At 39.8% G+C, this 15,645-nt stretch overlaps 2 protein-coding genes and 1 long non-coding RNA gene across 13 annotated transcripts in view; 1 reads left to right on the top strand and 2 right to left on the bottom strand.

Moving 5' to 3' along the window:
* LRBA (LPS responsive beige-like anchor protein) overlaps positions 1–15,645 on the top strand; it is a 751,293-nt gene that overhangs the window by 422,811 nt on the left and 312,837 nt on the right. For 9 of the 11 annotated variants that reach the window (XM_047416462.1, NM_001367550.1, NM_006726.5 and 6 more), the window contains 2 exons: positions 2,058–2,204; positions 4,733–4,869. In XM_047416462.1, coding sequence (XP_047272418.1) covers positions 2,058–2,204; positions 4,733–4,869 — 284 coding nt within the window. Of the gene's footprint in view, positions 1–2,057; positions 2,205–4,732; positions 4,870–11,149; positions 11,600–13,027; positions 13,096–15,645 lie in introns of those variants that run through there. The other 2 variants (NM_001440432.1, NM_001440433.1) reach the window with 2 other exon arrangements.
* On the bottom strand, positions 8,224–10,766 carry MAB21L2 (mab-21 like 2). Its single transcript, NM_006439.5, has one exon. It carries the CDS (start codon positions 9,885–9,887, stop codon positions 8,808–8,810), a length of 1,080 nt encoding a protein of 359 aa, NP_006430.1. The 5' UTR covers positions 9,888–10,766; the 3' UTR covers positions 8,224–8,807.
* On the bottom strand, positions 11,683–13,828 carry LRBA-AS1 (LRBA antisense RNA 1). Its single transcript, NR_149035.1, has 2 exons — positions 13,562–13,828; positions 11,683–13,313 (listed from the first exon to the last, which is right to left on the bottom strand). It is a non-coding gene; the product is annotated as an LRBA antisense RNA 1 (long non-coding RNA).

The raw sequence follows: 15,645 nt of genomic DNA, 5'->3' as shown, positions 1-15,645 counted from the left end.
TACGCCTGTAATCCCAGCAACTTTGAGAGGCTGAGGTGGTAGGATTGCTTGAGCCCAGTAGTTAGAGATCAGCCTGGGCAACATGGGAAGACCTCATCTCTACAAAAAGTTAAATTAAAAAATTAGCTGGGCATGGTGGCAAGCACCTGTGGTCCCAGCCACTTGGGAGGCTGAGCTGGGAGGATTGCTTGAGCCTAGAGGCTGCAGTAAGCTGTTATTGTGCCTTTGCACTCCAGCCTGGGTGACAGAGCAGGATCCTGTCTCAAAAAAATTAAATAAAAAATAAATAAAGCCACTTTAATTAGATACACTAAAGTAATCTTTTCAAACATATGTCCAGACCATCATATGTGTGTAGCTTACAATGCAGCCTGTGAGTATGAAAGATTTTATTTACCCATAGAGTGTATTTAAAGGTAAATATAGAAAGCTTCTTCCCATGACTTCTTATTAAATAGAAAACTCCTATGTTTCAGTAGCACTATAAGTATTGTATATAAATGGTATACATGGTGAATTCGCAATAAATATGAGAAAAAAAAAACCTTTTACCTTTAACATCATCCGTAAACGTACTTATCAAACCCTAAGAACCTTTGATCTGCCAAATCAGGTAACACATGTGCAGGTTAACTATGTAGAATAAATTATATAGATATATATATATTAGTCGTGTTACTGCAAATTGACTGCTTTATTCTTTCTGGGGTTTGGGCCTTATGCCTAGGCAGAAGCTGCAGTGGAGCAAAAAAAAAAAAAAAAAAAAAAAAAACCCTAGCCATCCGATTTCCATATCAAAAGCCGCAGCCTGGGTAGATCAGGTGCTTTACCTCTGGGATTTATCTAGCTGGAAGCCAGGAGGGTCAGGTGAAGATTCTTAACTTTCCCTTATATGACACCATTCAAAAAAAGATTAGGAAAAGATACACATATGAAGTTTTACAAATCACAATTTAGAAGTTAGCATCTGCCTTCCTGCTTGTCGTAAGGAGAAAGCTGCTCAAAACAACAGGAGGAGCCCTGGAAGGATGTGGGTTTTGAATCAGAGTTTTGAATTTCAGGGTTTTCCACTTTCATTTGCGTCTTTGCTCTCCTTTCGGATCCCATTGTTGAGTGTAGGTGCTCTGCAGGGCTGCTTCTTCCCTCCCTAGATGTGTTCTCTTTTCCTCCATCTGCCTGCAGTTGCTGCCTTGTCATAGTGCCTGAGTCTGGTACTGCTGCTCTCCACAAGCTGCTCCAGTTCAGGCCGCATGAGGCCCCTTGCCCACATGCCTCTCATCCCAGGCTTTCTGTTATGTTTGCCCCCGGGGTGCCTTAGCCCTTTAGTTTAAACATGCAGAGGAGGTAGTGTTTGAGCTTCCACTTAGTTTCCACACCGCCTTGCTCCTGGATATTTGTATAAAGGACAAAAGGGCGGAGGAGTGAGTGTATGTGTGAACATGTGGACGAGGGTAATGTGAAGGAAGGAAGGAGGGAGGGTGGATAAAGAAGAGATTGCAGCTTTGAGGAGCTGCTGTAGTCTTATTAGTGTCAGATATGGCTTCAGTATCTGGGCCTAAATCCTCACTGGCTTGTGAATGTCTCTTAGCTTTAACCCTTTTTAATTCTGGATTCTTCTCCACAGCCACTCCTCAACCATTCCAAAATGTTTGTCAGTATAACATTGTTTGGAGGAATGAATCAGTCCTTATTTTTTGCTGTTAAATATTGTTTCCAAAACTGGGATTTGATTGTTCCTATTAATGAATTTTCAATAAAAGTACTGCTTTTGAACCACTCCTACCCTAACTATAAGTAAATAAATGGTTTGGTGAGCAGTGCAGGGGTCAAATTTAATGGGATTAGGGTGCTTGTTTAGGGTAACATTAGACTAGGTTGGGGGATCGAGTTTGTCAGATCAGGCATGTGTGCCATCCCAATCACTTTCTCCACTGTAGCTGACACTGTGTATAAAAGATTGACCATCTTTGGCCACCTACCCTTACCTAAGCCCCTACCCCTCTGCCGAAGTGCTCTTCCCAGAACTGATGGACAGCTTTGTTTCCTTTTCATTTCAGCCACAGATGAAGATATCCTTGCTAAAGGAAAACAGTCCATCAGGAGTCAGGCTTTAGGAAATCAGAACTCAGAAAACGAGATCCTCCTGGAAGGCGATGATGATACTCTGTCATCCGTGGATGAGAAAGATTTAGAGAATCTTGCCGGTAAATTTGGTGGTTGTGCAGATATTTCAGCTACCTCTGGGACAATAAGCATATAATTACTTACTTTTTCAGCTGTGACCACTAGGACTACCAAGTTTATACCCACAATTACATTAATTGGTTATTTCAAATACTTCCCCCCCTTCTACAGTTTCTCCTTTATTTTTCTATTCTATTCAGTCTTCTTACTCTCCTCATTTTTTTCTTTTGTGAATAATTTTCACTGAAAAAGAAAAAGTTTAAAAGCAGCAACAAAAGAACAAAATTACTTCACCCATCCCATAGGAGTTACCAAATCTCTGTAAAGTAAGACTATAAGTAAAATTCTGCCAGTTTTTTTTTTTTTTTTTTGTAAATAAAGCTTGGAAGGAGAGAAGCTATTTGCTTTGATATACAGGTCTTAGTGAACATGCTGTATATGCATGTAACTCTCTCAAATCAATTCCGAGAATGCCATGGCTTTTCACAACATTCACGTATTTTGCCTGATGTAGGAATTTTGATTTGCACTCTGCAGATTCTCAGTTTTACATCCCTTATGGGAAAAATTCTCTTGTTTAGCCGGAAATTTTAGTCATTCATTAAATGGCTTTTTTACTTTAATACCTGTGGCTCTGTCCCTCAAGGAAGAAAGTCTGAAAGGTTCTATAATTTCAATAGGTGAAAATTACATAGTATTCCATTTTGATAATTTTAAGAGAAAAGACATTAAAAACCTTGCTTTTGGTGACATATCTGCAACCTGTGCTACTATGCCACTTGGTAATGAAAAGCAAAAAGAGAAGATGGTATCTTCTCTGATAACTGTAAACCTCTCTATAAAGTAAAATAAAATTAATTGGTGGGAGTGGAGAGTAAGGTAGATACTGCTATTCTGTAGTCTTTTCCTTCACATCCATTTACCCATTTCTTCCTTTATTTTGCTTCTATTCTTGCTACTAGTAATACATTCATACAGTAATAGAGGTGAAAGGGGAGTTTAATTATATAATCTTGACAATGGCAATAGGATTAAGAAGTAATCCACACTAATAAAGTGGTGTGGGTTAGAAATGAAGTGGAAATTGTCAGGGGTCTTCTGTAGGACCTAGGCTGCCCTAGCTCTTGCAGCTGTCTGCTTACCCTGTAATTGAATGTCTGAGAGTGATTGAAAAAATGTTATTTCTTCTCAGTATTACATGCTAATGTACAGAGGGCAAAAGGAGACAGCAAAAGAACACATAGCTTCTTATTTCATCCATTTATAAGGATGAGCTTTGGGAAATCATGGCTGTTCTGCAGCTATCTGCTGCCCATCTGCAAACACAATGTATTTGTACATTGGGAATAGAGGGCAAAACCTGCTCTGATCTCCGCAGAGCATCCCTTCTATTGTCCTACTGGCACACATTAAGATTGATGTGAGATTAAGCACTATCACCCTTCTAACAATCGATGGAAATGTCAATTCATCTGAATTTTGAAACACTTATTCACCCATTGATTACCTGAATAGGCACAGCTTGTTTATAGGCACTATATTAATTCAGAACTATAAGTGCCAATCTTCTCTTATGCTGTTTTCTTCCCCTATAGGATTTATACCATGAGGAATTGATAATGGAATTTCAAATTCTTTCTACGTCGATCTCTCTCTCTCTGTGTGTGTGTGTGTGTGTGTGTGTGTGTGTGTATACACACACAGACATAACAGACATATATATGTAACATTTTTAGTTCATATTTTATATTTAGCTCTAATACACATTATGCTGTTCTGTCTGTAGTGAATCTATTGTTTTCAGTAGCAGTCTGATTTGTCTCTTTGATAAGCCCTGTGGAGATTTGATTATTCCAATAAAAATTCATTCACTTGGAAACCCACCCTCCAGCTGTTTACTCCCAGAGTCCCTGAACTACACTAATATTAGATTTGGAAGCATTGAACAATACTTAACAGTGGAAAGGAAGGCTTAGAAAAGAAGTATTTTTACCAGTCATTGATGGGGTAAAGTTGTTATGGAAGAGGTTTTGTGTCAAGCTGGCATAAAATCTCTATCAGAAAATATGGTTTAACATTTCCCACTTCATTAATAAGCTAGTGATCTTTTTGTAGCCATGCCTCTACCATACTGTAAGCTAACTGCTGGCCTTGGAAGCCTATTGAGGCTTCTTTGCTCCTGGTTGTTGTTCATGTTGTTAGATAGCCTGAGGCCTGTTTTCTAAATGGAATGTGGATGGACTTATTTAGGCAGAGCCACTTCTTACCTAGAGATTAGACCAAAGCTTTGCAGACTCCCTGTAAAATAATTGCATCCTAGTTTACTGTTATCATTAACCGCCTGTTATAGATCTTGTAGTATGAGAATCCTGACTTTGCATTTTCAGAGGAAGATTTGGGGTGGACAGAATATTTAACTGTAGAAGTAGTTGGCAGGCAGTTCAGTACTAGACGTGAGAATGAAAAGATTAAATACAATTTCTGGTCGAATTTGATTTTTTGAAAAATGTCATTCCAACTTGTGTGGCTTGTCTTTTCCTTTTGGCAGGTCCTGTTAGCCTGAGCACACCAGCTCAGCTTGTGGCCCCCTCTGTTGTAGTAAAGGGCACTCTTTCTGTCACCTCCTCCGAACTCTATTTTGAGGTGGATGAAGAGGATCCTAACTTCAAAAAAATCGACCCCAAGGTGAGAAGATGAAGGGGTTTCATTTTTTCTTATGATGGGATGGTGGGTGCTGTTGGATAGGATTGGGATTGGTAAATCTGACAGGCTTAGTTTGAATTTCTTCTAAGTTGCCTTGGCTTATATGCAATGTCATTATCTTCTTTAGTTTATGATTCCCTACCAGTTAGTTAGATTATTGAAGTTCATTTAGATTCAAAAACAAATTCTACTTAATGACATTTATCATTAGCTCTTTGTGAGGAGGGGAAGGAACCTCCGAGAACATTGTCTATAAATATATTTTGCCTCAAAGGGTCAAGGGTGAATTAAGATACAAAATTCAGTGAGATTGAGAGTGGAATTATTTTGTTTAGCCTTTATGTTTTCTGGATATGATGCCAATATATCACTCTCCTTGCTTTGTCCCCATGACTTACTACTCTGTCGTGCATGCAAGCATGTTTTGTGTGTGAGATACCTCTGTTTCCCATTACCTATAGTAGATTTTACAAGGCACTGCATAATTTTCTATTCTTAAATGAAAATGTAATTTCCCCTTTAAAATATATTTCTCATTACTTTTCAGACCCTGGCAACTTTGTTTTTACTAAGAAACATTTGTAGCACAGTCATAAAAACCAAAATTAGGTTTATTTCAAGAAAAAGAATGGTATAATTTGCTCTGAGAGGAAACAGTTTCTTTTAAAAATGAGCAAAATAAGCAATCTGTAGAAAAAGGTGGCTTAAAAAGTGGAATAATTTATTTTGCAGGCTGATAGCATATGTTATGTACATGTATATACATACACATATTTTGAGTTTTTTGGTAGGTTCTTTGATTTTGTAATCATGTGAATTTTTAAATCTGAATGATTTAGAAGTATTTCAAAGTAGTAGCTCTTGATGAAAATATTATAATTTTGTTTAAAACTATACAAACAAATCATGTCTCACACATATTTCTAGCACTTTGTTTCAATATTGCTGCCTTTATTAAGACAGGACTTGGTAGATTGTATGAAACTGATTGTTTTGAGCTTGATAAGTTAACTAATCCAATGTAGAGAAAACTTGCTAATTCTGAAATTCTATCAATTAAAAATTTTTTCTACTTTGTCCCATGACTGAAATGTCTGAAAATGCATTAGTTTCTTTAGGAAAGGAAGGTTACCAAAATTAAACTCTCTGATTTCTGGTAACTTCTGAATTTAAGAAAGACTGGGATTTAATTCAAGATATTCTATCATGCTTTTAAACACATATAGAGCAAAGCCTAAAATTTGATTTAATTTAAAAGTGTCTAATTAATTGTTCTGAAAATTAGAATCTCTGCCAATGTGTGAGATTAGGTTCTTTGAAGTTATTTGCTCCTTTTAGAGAAGTTACAAGTTTTGTCTCTCTCTGATCTGATTCTGTACAGCATCATTAAATTATTTTTTTCTTGTTGCTTGTGAAATATGGAGATCTTTTGGCTCAATGAAGAAATGGTCTGTATCACTGCAACCTTCCTTATATTCCAGAAGTTAAAACTCCTGCCAATTTATATTAAAAACAATTTTTCAGTCAGCTACTGGGAGAAGTTTTAATTTTGTATAGATGTTAATGCTTTAAGGTGTTCTGTAAATGAGGACATTTATGTTCCTGCAGTGTTTTTCCTTTTTAACTGATACCTGCATTAAATTAAATAAGGAAGAAGAAAATATGCTGAATTGGGGATATTTTTGTTTCTTTTTGTCAAGACTTAAAAACTTTTTTTCTGGAATAGTTGGAGGGAGATGTATGTCTACTGCTGTAAATACTTTTGTGAGTGAGAAAAATGGTCACTTATAGATATTCTTTTTATCTTTGAAACCAAACACTATTCCTTTAAATCATTTTGTGCAAATGTAAGCACCTACTGTTTGTTTGAAAATGTTTTTAAAATTCAGAACATTTTCCCCAGAGAATAAATTGGTTTTTATAATTTAAAAGAATTTGTTTGTTTGAGCCACTTAATATTACTGTGAAGAATACAGGAAGAGCAACTAGAAAAATAGATATAATAGAGGTTGAGTTGAAAGAGTGGAGATGATTTCAGAACTGATAGGATCAAAGTTTATATTTTTAACACAGGACTGTTTTTACCAAGGAATCTTACACAACTTAAGCCTGTTTGTCAAGTGAACTAGGCTTCAGACCCCTGAGTGGCTTTCTTGTTTTTCATCTATTCTGCTATCCTGCTGCTCATCCCTCCATACAGCCCTTCCCCCTCTCAAACTTCTTCCTCTGATCTTTAAAATTGCCTTTAAAAACATTTTTCTCTACACCTCTCATTTGTGCATTTTCTCAATAAATTAAAACCTGGGCTAATACAAAGAATAAATGTTAGATATTAAAGGGTAACATCTGACATATATTCTGTACCTGTGTCTCATCATTAGCATAGCGAATGGAGTATATAGTTACCTTCAACATAAGCAAGACAAACCAATTCCTTTGGGATACTTTCTGTTTGACTAATTATATTATTTTCTAATCAGTTATTCCCTTGCATTAAAAAGAAACCTTTGTTAAAGCTGAAACATTGAAATGAGTATATTGGTTTGTTACCTTAGAAAAACAGAAAGAGGAGGAAGGTACTTTTCCTATTTCTAAATCCTGGAATAATAATTTTTCTTTGGTTATAAAAATGGTATGAAAACCTTTTTTGTTTGAATTGCATATAAGCAGTTTCAGAATAATTCTTGAAATTTGATTAAAATAATCATACTTATGGAATTTACAACTAAGCCATTTTAAAATGGAAGTAATTTATAAATCTGAATGGTTCATATCACCATATGCTTGGGGAGAGGATTATTGCTATAACCATTGTATTTTTTGTTGTGGTTTATTTAATTGTTAAATTTTTATCACTCAAAGCTTGAAGAGGACAAACGGTTGAAGGAAAAGTATCAACTGACTTTGTTAACTATTCAGAAAAATCCATAAATATTTCCTTTGTATATCGGATTCAGATTGGATTTTTTGAAATTATGGCATAAGAAAGCACATCTCTTAATTTTTAATGTGAAAAAGTTTTTTCTATTTTAAAAATTAGGATCAAAATATTTTCTTTCATACTTTTTTCCCAAGCGTGAAGTAGATGTTACTTTTAATCTTAACATCTACAGAACAAATATATATTATAGTTGAGTAAAATTAGTGTTTTCTATTTTCTAAGGATTTGGGTCGGAACTTATACAGTCAATTCTACAAAATGTACTGTATTTAAAATTTTGCAAATCAGTTCAAGTGGAAGCTTCTTGCATTTGATTCCTCGTCACATCTTTACATTGGAAATTATAAACTGTGATCTCACCTGCCTTCACTTAAGAACAATCCACAAACAGTCAATTACAATGTAAAGTAATGTTTTTATTACTGTTTTCAACAAGACAGCTCAGGGTGAGGGTAGAGGTTCAGGAGAGGGAGGAGCACAGTCTGACATTGGCACTGAGAACGTTTAACATCAGTAAAACTTTTTTTTAAAAGAGAAATTTTACATATAGTTAAATAATTTTTTCACTTGGTGACAACATTCAGGCAACCAAAAGCAAAACGAAATGGGGGGGGGGATGGGGTGGAGAGAAAAAGGATAGGGGGAAAGAAGGAAAAGGGGGGGGAACTACTATACATTGATTTGAAAATGTACCTTGGGTTTCATTTTGTGGTGGCGGAGCCCGATTGCTTCTTTTGTGTGACCTTTTAAATTCACATTGTTTGGAAGAAAACGATCACTTTTGTGCAAGAATGTGATTTGTTTTGGTTGGGTTGCTCTCTTTTTGTTTGCTTCTTAATTAATGAAGGTCTTCTGCCGGATTCCTATTTCAGGTGACTTACATAAAAGTTTGTGTCCAGAGTTTCTGCTGTTTATAGCAGAGTTGTGTGTCTGAGAGAGCACGCCCGTTTGTGTCGCTTTTCAAGCAGTCCCCAGCACCCTATAGTTTGTCCAGGCTTTTGGGATTGGTGAGAATTTCCCTGGCCAACCTCCAGGTCTGCTTGGCAGCGCTCTCCAGGGCCGAATGGGGCTTGCCCTGAAAGAGGTCGAGGTTGGGCAGAAAGTAGTGAGGGCAGCGGCGGCACTGCAGGCAGGAGATGAGCTGCAGCAGGATGCCGTTGAGCCGGTCGCCCAGGCACGACTCGTCCCAGTCCGTTTCTCGTGGGTGTTTCTCGCACTCGTACAGCAGCAGCGTCTTCATGTGGTAGTTGTTGAGCGGCTGGCCGGGTAGCTCCAGGTGGCGGTCCCGCAGAGTCTTCAGCACTGAGAGGCACTTGTTTCGGCAGCCGCCCATCAGCAGGCGGTTCTCCGCCTCCCCGAACTGTAGCACCCAGGCGTCGCTCTCTGCCGAGCTCTGCTTGCCGGTCAGCGAGTAGCACTCCTTCGAGAGCAAGTTGAACCCTTCGGCCTTGACCTCGGCCACCCGATTGGGGCCGGGCCAAGGGATGTGGGGCATAGGCCACTGTGCCGCGCTGCGAGGCCAGATCCCGGTGCACTTGAACGCCGGAGTGATTTGCACCACATAGCGCTCCCTGATGCGCAACTTGACCTCGCTGGTGTCCGCGATCATCTTGACCACATCCCGATAGCTGCACTTGTCCACCGCCTGGGCCACCAGCGTCTGGAAACGCGAGCGGATCTTACGCGCTGAGAGATAGCCCGACGCCGTGATGAACTCGACCCAGAGAGACATGCTCCGCTTCCGCCCATCGCTCAGTTTGAGCACTGCGCAGCCGGGCAGCGAGCCGTCGTCCACGAAGTTGAAGACGCCCATCTGGTTTAGGTAGAGCACCACCTCAAATTCGGTGGGCGAAATGACCTCGAGCCCCTCGTAGCGGGCATCGATCTCGCTCAAGGAGCTGATGAAGCGAGGCTCCTGCACCTCCACTTCCTTGAGCACGTCCGAGACCACCTTACAGACCTCTCGGATGGTTTTGGCGATGGCCGCCTTGCGCGCCTGACAGCGCTCAGTGTAGTACTTATTGAGCTGGTAAACCAGCTTGGCCTGAGCGGCGATCATGTTGGGGCACAGGTCCGGGCTATACACCGGCGTCTCGCAATACGTTGAGGGATCCAAGGCTCACGCACTGGTGGTGGCCCAGCGGCTTTCGAAAGAGGCGGTGCGCTCCCCGTTAAGCCCTACTTTCACTCTCGTTTTCCACCTGGGCTGACCGGCTGATACCGTAGCCGGCTTGTTTTTTCCTTTTCCCTCTTTCGAAACCTCTTTTCTTCTGCAGAAGAATTAGGGGAGAAAAGGTGATTTTCTAAAAAGAAAAGTACCTCTTGGAACCTTTTTGCTTTCTCTTGATATGTAAAGATGACCGTGTGCGAGAGAAGCGGGGTGGGCGTGAGGAAGGAGAAGGAGAGGGAAAAAACTCAGGATACCAAAAGGTTAGGCTTAGATGTCTGCAGCCGAGATTGTCCAGAAATCTGGAAATGAGGTTTTTTAAGTGCCAAAGTAAATTTAAAAATAAAAGCGAAACATTCAGTGGTTCATTCTTAAACTTCTCTTCCACGCTGATAGGACTTCTTCGCTCAGTGTAGGTGAGTGCCTTCTTCCTCACCCTCCCCCAAATGGAAGGTGCAGGAGGTAATTAATGTCCAGAGAGCTGCGAAGTACAACTCAGTCCGCCGTGCACTTGGAGGTTTGCTGACGCCCCACAGTCTCAGCGTGTTGGTCTCGTCTCTTCTCGGGGGGTCGTGTTATCGCAGTTTTCCTCTTTTCCTACTGGAGGCGTTGTTTGGACTGGGTTTGTTTGTTTGTAGTGGGTTCTCCTTGTGTTTCTTTAGGTGCAAACCGCTGGAAGTTGTTTGATAATCATTTCTGCTTCGTAATTTATACTTTTGGCCCTCACAAAATCCGTTTTAGTGTGACGAAGTCGTTGCTTGCGTTGCATCTGGGGTGTAGTTATAACGATTCAGGGTTTTCCTTCTTCTCCTCTAGCTTGCTTTTACAGATTCCACTTTCTGAGTCGTCTCTCCCCCTCCTCTCCCCTCCGACCTCTTTCTCGCCCCGCTCTCCCCCTGCTTCTCTCCCCCGCCCCCCTTCCTCGTGCTCGCTCTCTCTTCTTTCCTCTAACTCTCTCTGTCTCTCTCTCTCCCTCTCTCTTTCTTTCTCTCTCTCCCTCGCTGTTTCCTGGAGTTATTTAGTTTATGAATGGTCCCAGGGCCATCATGAGGGGGTGGAGCTTCAGTTCCTACAATCGCTATCCGAGCTGTCAGTGCTTTAGCCAATCCGAGAGAGAAGACAGGCACGCTTGGCGAACGGTAGCAGCCACCACTGCACTTGATAAAGAAACAGGGTAAAGAGAGAAGTAAGAAAATAGGAGGAGATAATGGGAGTCAAATGCTTGCACACATTTTACAGCCGTTCCTCTTTATCCTCCTCTCTTATCAGTAGCAAAGAAGAAAAAGAGTTTATATAGAAGGGACTCTCCTGGAGATGGCTGGAATAACGCGAGGGAGAGTAGCAATGGTTCAGAAAGGTTCACTTTTTTTTTTTTTAAATGATTCTATCAACATTGTGTAGTAGAAGGTGCAAACTGTAACAAAATTACTTTGGCTTGAAGGCAAATGGGAAGCGAAAGGGGAATCTGGGAAAGGACCTAATTTTTCCAGGTTTTTTCCTCCTTTAAAGTCATCCTCCTTTCTCTTCCCCTCCCCTCCCATTGTTGCCAAGAATCAGAGCAGTTGCTGTATATGTGCACCAGTGAGGGTTGGAGTGGATATAAGGTGAGGGTTTATAAATCTCTTTTTAGTAATTTCGATATGCTGTTTAAAAACAGGGCAGGGCAAAAACTAGTCCAAGCACCTTGTTTGATAATTATTTCATAATTAAGATTCACATGTATTTAATACCATTATTTTATCGTTACAAGAATTAACTAGTTACGAGAGAGAAAATATCTAAGTTGTGAGAAATGGTGCAAACTTACATGTCGTAGAACTTAGTAGGATATACTTTTAAAATAAGCTACTAAAATTGCTTCAAACTTAATGAAAAACAAGGCAAGTAAATGTAAACCTAAAGTTTTCTTAAAATCTTACTGTTGTAAATCTAATTGTGAATGTATTCTTAGGGGGTACAGGTACAGAGTTTCATTTGTAAAATGATTTTATTTTCATAATTGACTCTTGCTTTTAAAAGACTTCACTGCCACAAAAATCTATAACTATCCTGTTATTGATTACACAGATGGCTTCACTCCTCCCTAGGCATTTCAATGAAAGGCATGCATGTGCTTTTAGTATATGTATTATCCTAAACGAGTTGTACCCACTGTAGCCTTTCCATACTTTTGGGTGAAAAAAAAAGCTAGAACATTGTTTCTGATTTGCTTGATACTGAGGGTTTATGTATGAACCTAAGATGTCTGGATTCTGAATCTTTTTAACGTATTTCAGGTAGATGTGATTATTTTTAGTTTGATTTGGGAGGTTATATTCCAGCCCTGGGTTATGCGATAAAAATAAAAATCTATGCGTCCATTTGGGTGAAGACTTCGTTTTAGAAACCTGGTAGTTCGGCTTTTTCAAAACCCCTTGGGAGGGCTTGACTTACCCTCTTAAAGTCCGGCCGGGTGAACCTGAATTGAATTGCATAGGGAAGTTAATTTCTTTCTATCTACTTGGTATCAGACAATTGGGCCTCTTGGTTCTTTCTTACATACCTGGTGCGGACCACAGGCAGTTTGTCACCCTTCCTCTCTCGTTGCCATAAGTCCCTTTCTAAGGAATATTTGCTTAAAAAAAAACTATCTCGGATTTGTTGCTTAGGGTTTGTCTTCCCGCGATTAGGAAGAAGAGTCAGAATTAAGTGTCCGCGCGACTCTTGGACTCCAGAGCTTTAGTTAACTTCTCTGGAGTGGCAGAGACTTGGGCTGCTTGACCTCCAGCCTTCTCCGGGGAGGCCGCGTGCGTCCCGGAACGCCTCGCCGCCTAAGGATCTAGGGGACCTCGCGCCCTCGGAGTTCGCGCCTGTGGGAGCCCGGCTCTAACCCGGGAGGCCTTGCCGGCGCTCTGGGAACTGCCTGGGCCGGAGGGCACTGCGCTGCCGGGAGAGCGCGACTGGCCGGGAGGGGCTCCGTGGTTGCTTCTCCGGGGGCAGTTACTGGGCGGAGACTGGTGGCGGGGATAGAGGGTGCGGAGCTTTCCCGCCCCACTCTCGAGGTGGTCGCTTCGTCGTTGCGTCTGGTTCGCGAATGGCCCGGCCCGCGACGCTCCCGAGAGTGAGTGTTTGCAAACAGCCTCAGGGGTGGCGGAGTTGGTTCGCATGGCTCCGCCGCCGCGCCGCAAGTCCTGCGCCTTCTCCTCTTCTCTCGGGTGGGGCGTCCCAGGCCGAGCGGACCTTCGCGCCACCACTCGCCGGACACTCCGCTGCACCTCCACTGGCGGCTCTGTCAAGCTCGGCTAAGTTTTCTCGCATCCTTGCCCCTACGCTTCTCCACTTTTACATACAGAGGGAAGGATGATAAAACGTTACAAATGTTTTGATTTAAAAACAATTCATTACCAATTTACCCTGTCTTAGGTAGATGCTCTAGTAAATAATAAATCAGTTAAACAAAGGCGACTTTAATTTATGGCCGTGGTACTAATTAGAAACATCATTCGAGCAATAAACTTAAACACTTCCAGCAAATAATGCTCCCTCTTGCTGGTTCTCTTTCTCCCCCCTCCCCCACCCCAACTCACTCTGGCTGCCTCTGCTCTAAGAGCAGCTTCAGCTGCGCCTTTGCGGTCCTCTCTTCCTCTGGTTGAATAATTGAAGGGGGAAACGGTATCCGAGGAGGCTGTAATTGAAGAGCCCCTGTCACCTCTGCTTTTATGTATGTTAGTATAGAAGTCCATCAGCAGCTCCTTGATGGTGTATTAAAACGAACTGGCAGCTCCTTCTGCAGGAGATACTATATTCTATTAAAGGAGACCAAGTGAGAGAAAGAAACTCTAGAGGCTAAAAGCCACTTCAAGTCTTCAGACCGATTCATCTGTATTCTCTTGTTATAATCCGTCTCATCATACTTGAGTTAATGAGGCAAAGGAGGGGGTGCGAAATCTGATGGTCCTTGACAAATTCATTAGGGAGGCTGCAGGACATTTTATTTGACTGTTAAACATCTTGTTTGTTTGGCTTAGGCAGTGCCAACATTGGCATGCTTCAGCCCAGAGCTGTGGTGCTGGGCTAGCTGCAGGACATTCCTAAAAAGGGAAGGAGGACATTCAGGGTGTGATCTGAATTTTTTGTTTTGGATATCAGGTAGTCCGTAACCTTCAGACTTCTCTAGGCTTTACCTCTTGCATCATTACATTAGGAACATAAAGAATGTAGGTGATAGTACTGAAGTGGGCATGTTTTTAGTTACTATAAACTAAAATATGAGGATGTTTAAAACTTTAGTCTGAAAATTTCCCAGTTTCTTCAAAAAATTGAGTCAGGTTGTAGTAATTACGGTACTAGTTTTATAGCAATGTGAATGTTTAAGGTCCAGTCAAATAACCAGATTACTCATTACATCCTATTTTTACTTATCATGGTTAAATAAACTTTTAATTATTAATGGAATTTCCTATTTCACCGAAACCTTTATGAGTACAGAAACTTGGAAATAAAAAATTAACTATTTATACAAATATATTTTCAAAAAAAATTGGCATATTTTAAGGAAATTTTTATAATTAAAATTAGAAGCAAAACTGAATACTTGGTGTTAAAATAAGGTGATGAGTTGACAGAGTACTTTAAAAAGTGAAAATATTTCTAATTGAAGAATAATGGGTAATTAAGCTAGAATGCTAACCTTACAATGTTTTATTCTAAGATAATAATACAGTATTAGATTTATCAACATGTCCTTGAAAAGTAGTAAATAATCCAATTGTGATACTTTCTTGCATAGAGAATTCAGTTGTATTTTTCCTTCAGCATTGACTGAGCTTGAGCTTAAGTGCTTTGAGAAAGAATCCTGTCTTCCATTTATAGGAAAACAGTATGGAAGTAAAAAAACCTAATGCCCTTTGCCTGTCATTTTTATACATTCCTGCACTGCTGATGAAGCTTGAACGGCTGCAGGGAATGTATGGATTTGAAAAGAAATGATGCAGTAGTTCATGTTGTGTTTCTCAGGAGCCAAACCAAACTAATGGCTGAAGTCAGTGCTTCTGTAATCTGACAGTTATAATCCTGTTTATGTTTCCAGAGAATACAAAATTCTTAAACTGTTTTATTTTTTGCTGATCTTTACTTAAAAATGTATTTACTGAGTTAACGTCAGTGCATTTGTTACTTTATCATGTTAACGAGACTTAAAAGGTATCTATTATTTTATTATCTGTAAAAATAATATATTGTATCTCAATAATCTTTACTAAAGAGTAAACAAATTTTAGAATACATGATCTTATTTTCCAGGAAATATTTTAGAAGCTTTCAAAAAATAATCAGATTATTGACTTAAGAAAAGAAAGCATTTCTGGAGGATTTATACTTTTTGGAAAACAAAGGACCACGTGTTTACTGGTATATAGTCTTATCCTCTAAATTCTAACTTTGAAACATCTATGTGGGTGCTACATTTTTAGTTCTTATATACTTAATCATTCTACATACTTATGAAAATGCTTTTTTTTTTTAAAAAAATGAACATTGATTTTTATTTTTGGTCAAATTGTAAATGAGGAAATAAAACACTATTAAGTTCTCTGAATTTAAAAATTATTTCACTAAAAACAGAAAGAAAAGTAAATAACCCAGATATGATTTGTTAGTGTATTCTAGTTGA

Source organism: Homo sapiens, chromosome 4, assembly GCF_000001405.40.
Source record: "Homo sapiens chromosome 4, GRCh38.p14 Primary Assembly".
Lineage (NCBI taxonomy): Eukaryota > Metazoa > Chordata > Mammalia > Primates > Hominidae > Homo > Homo sapiens.
Note: the sequence above shows the minus strand (reverse complement) of the source record. Positions and strands in the feature narration are given on the sequence as shown.

Coding starts and splice junctions, on each gene's coding strand:
- MAB21L2 (NM_006439.5), bottom strand. CDS start 9,887: ATGATCGCCGCTCAGGCCAAGCTGGTTTACCAGCTCAATAAGTACTAC.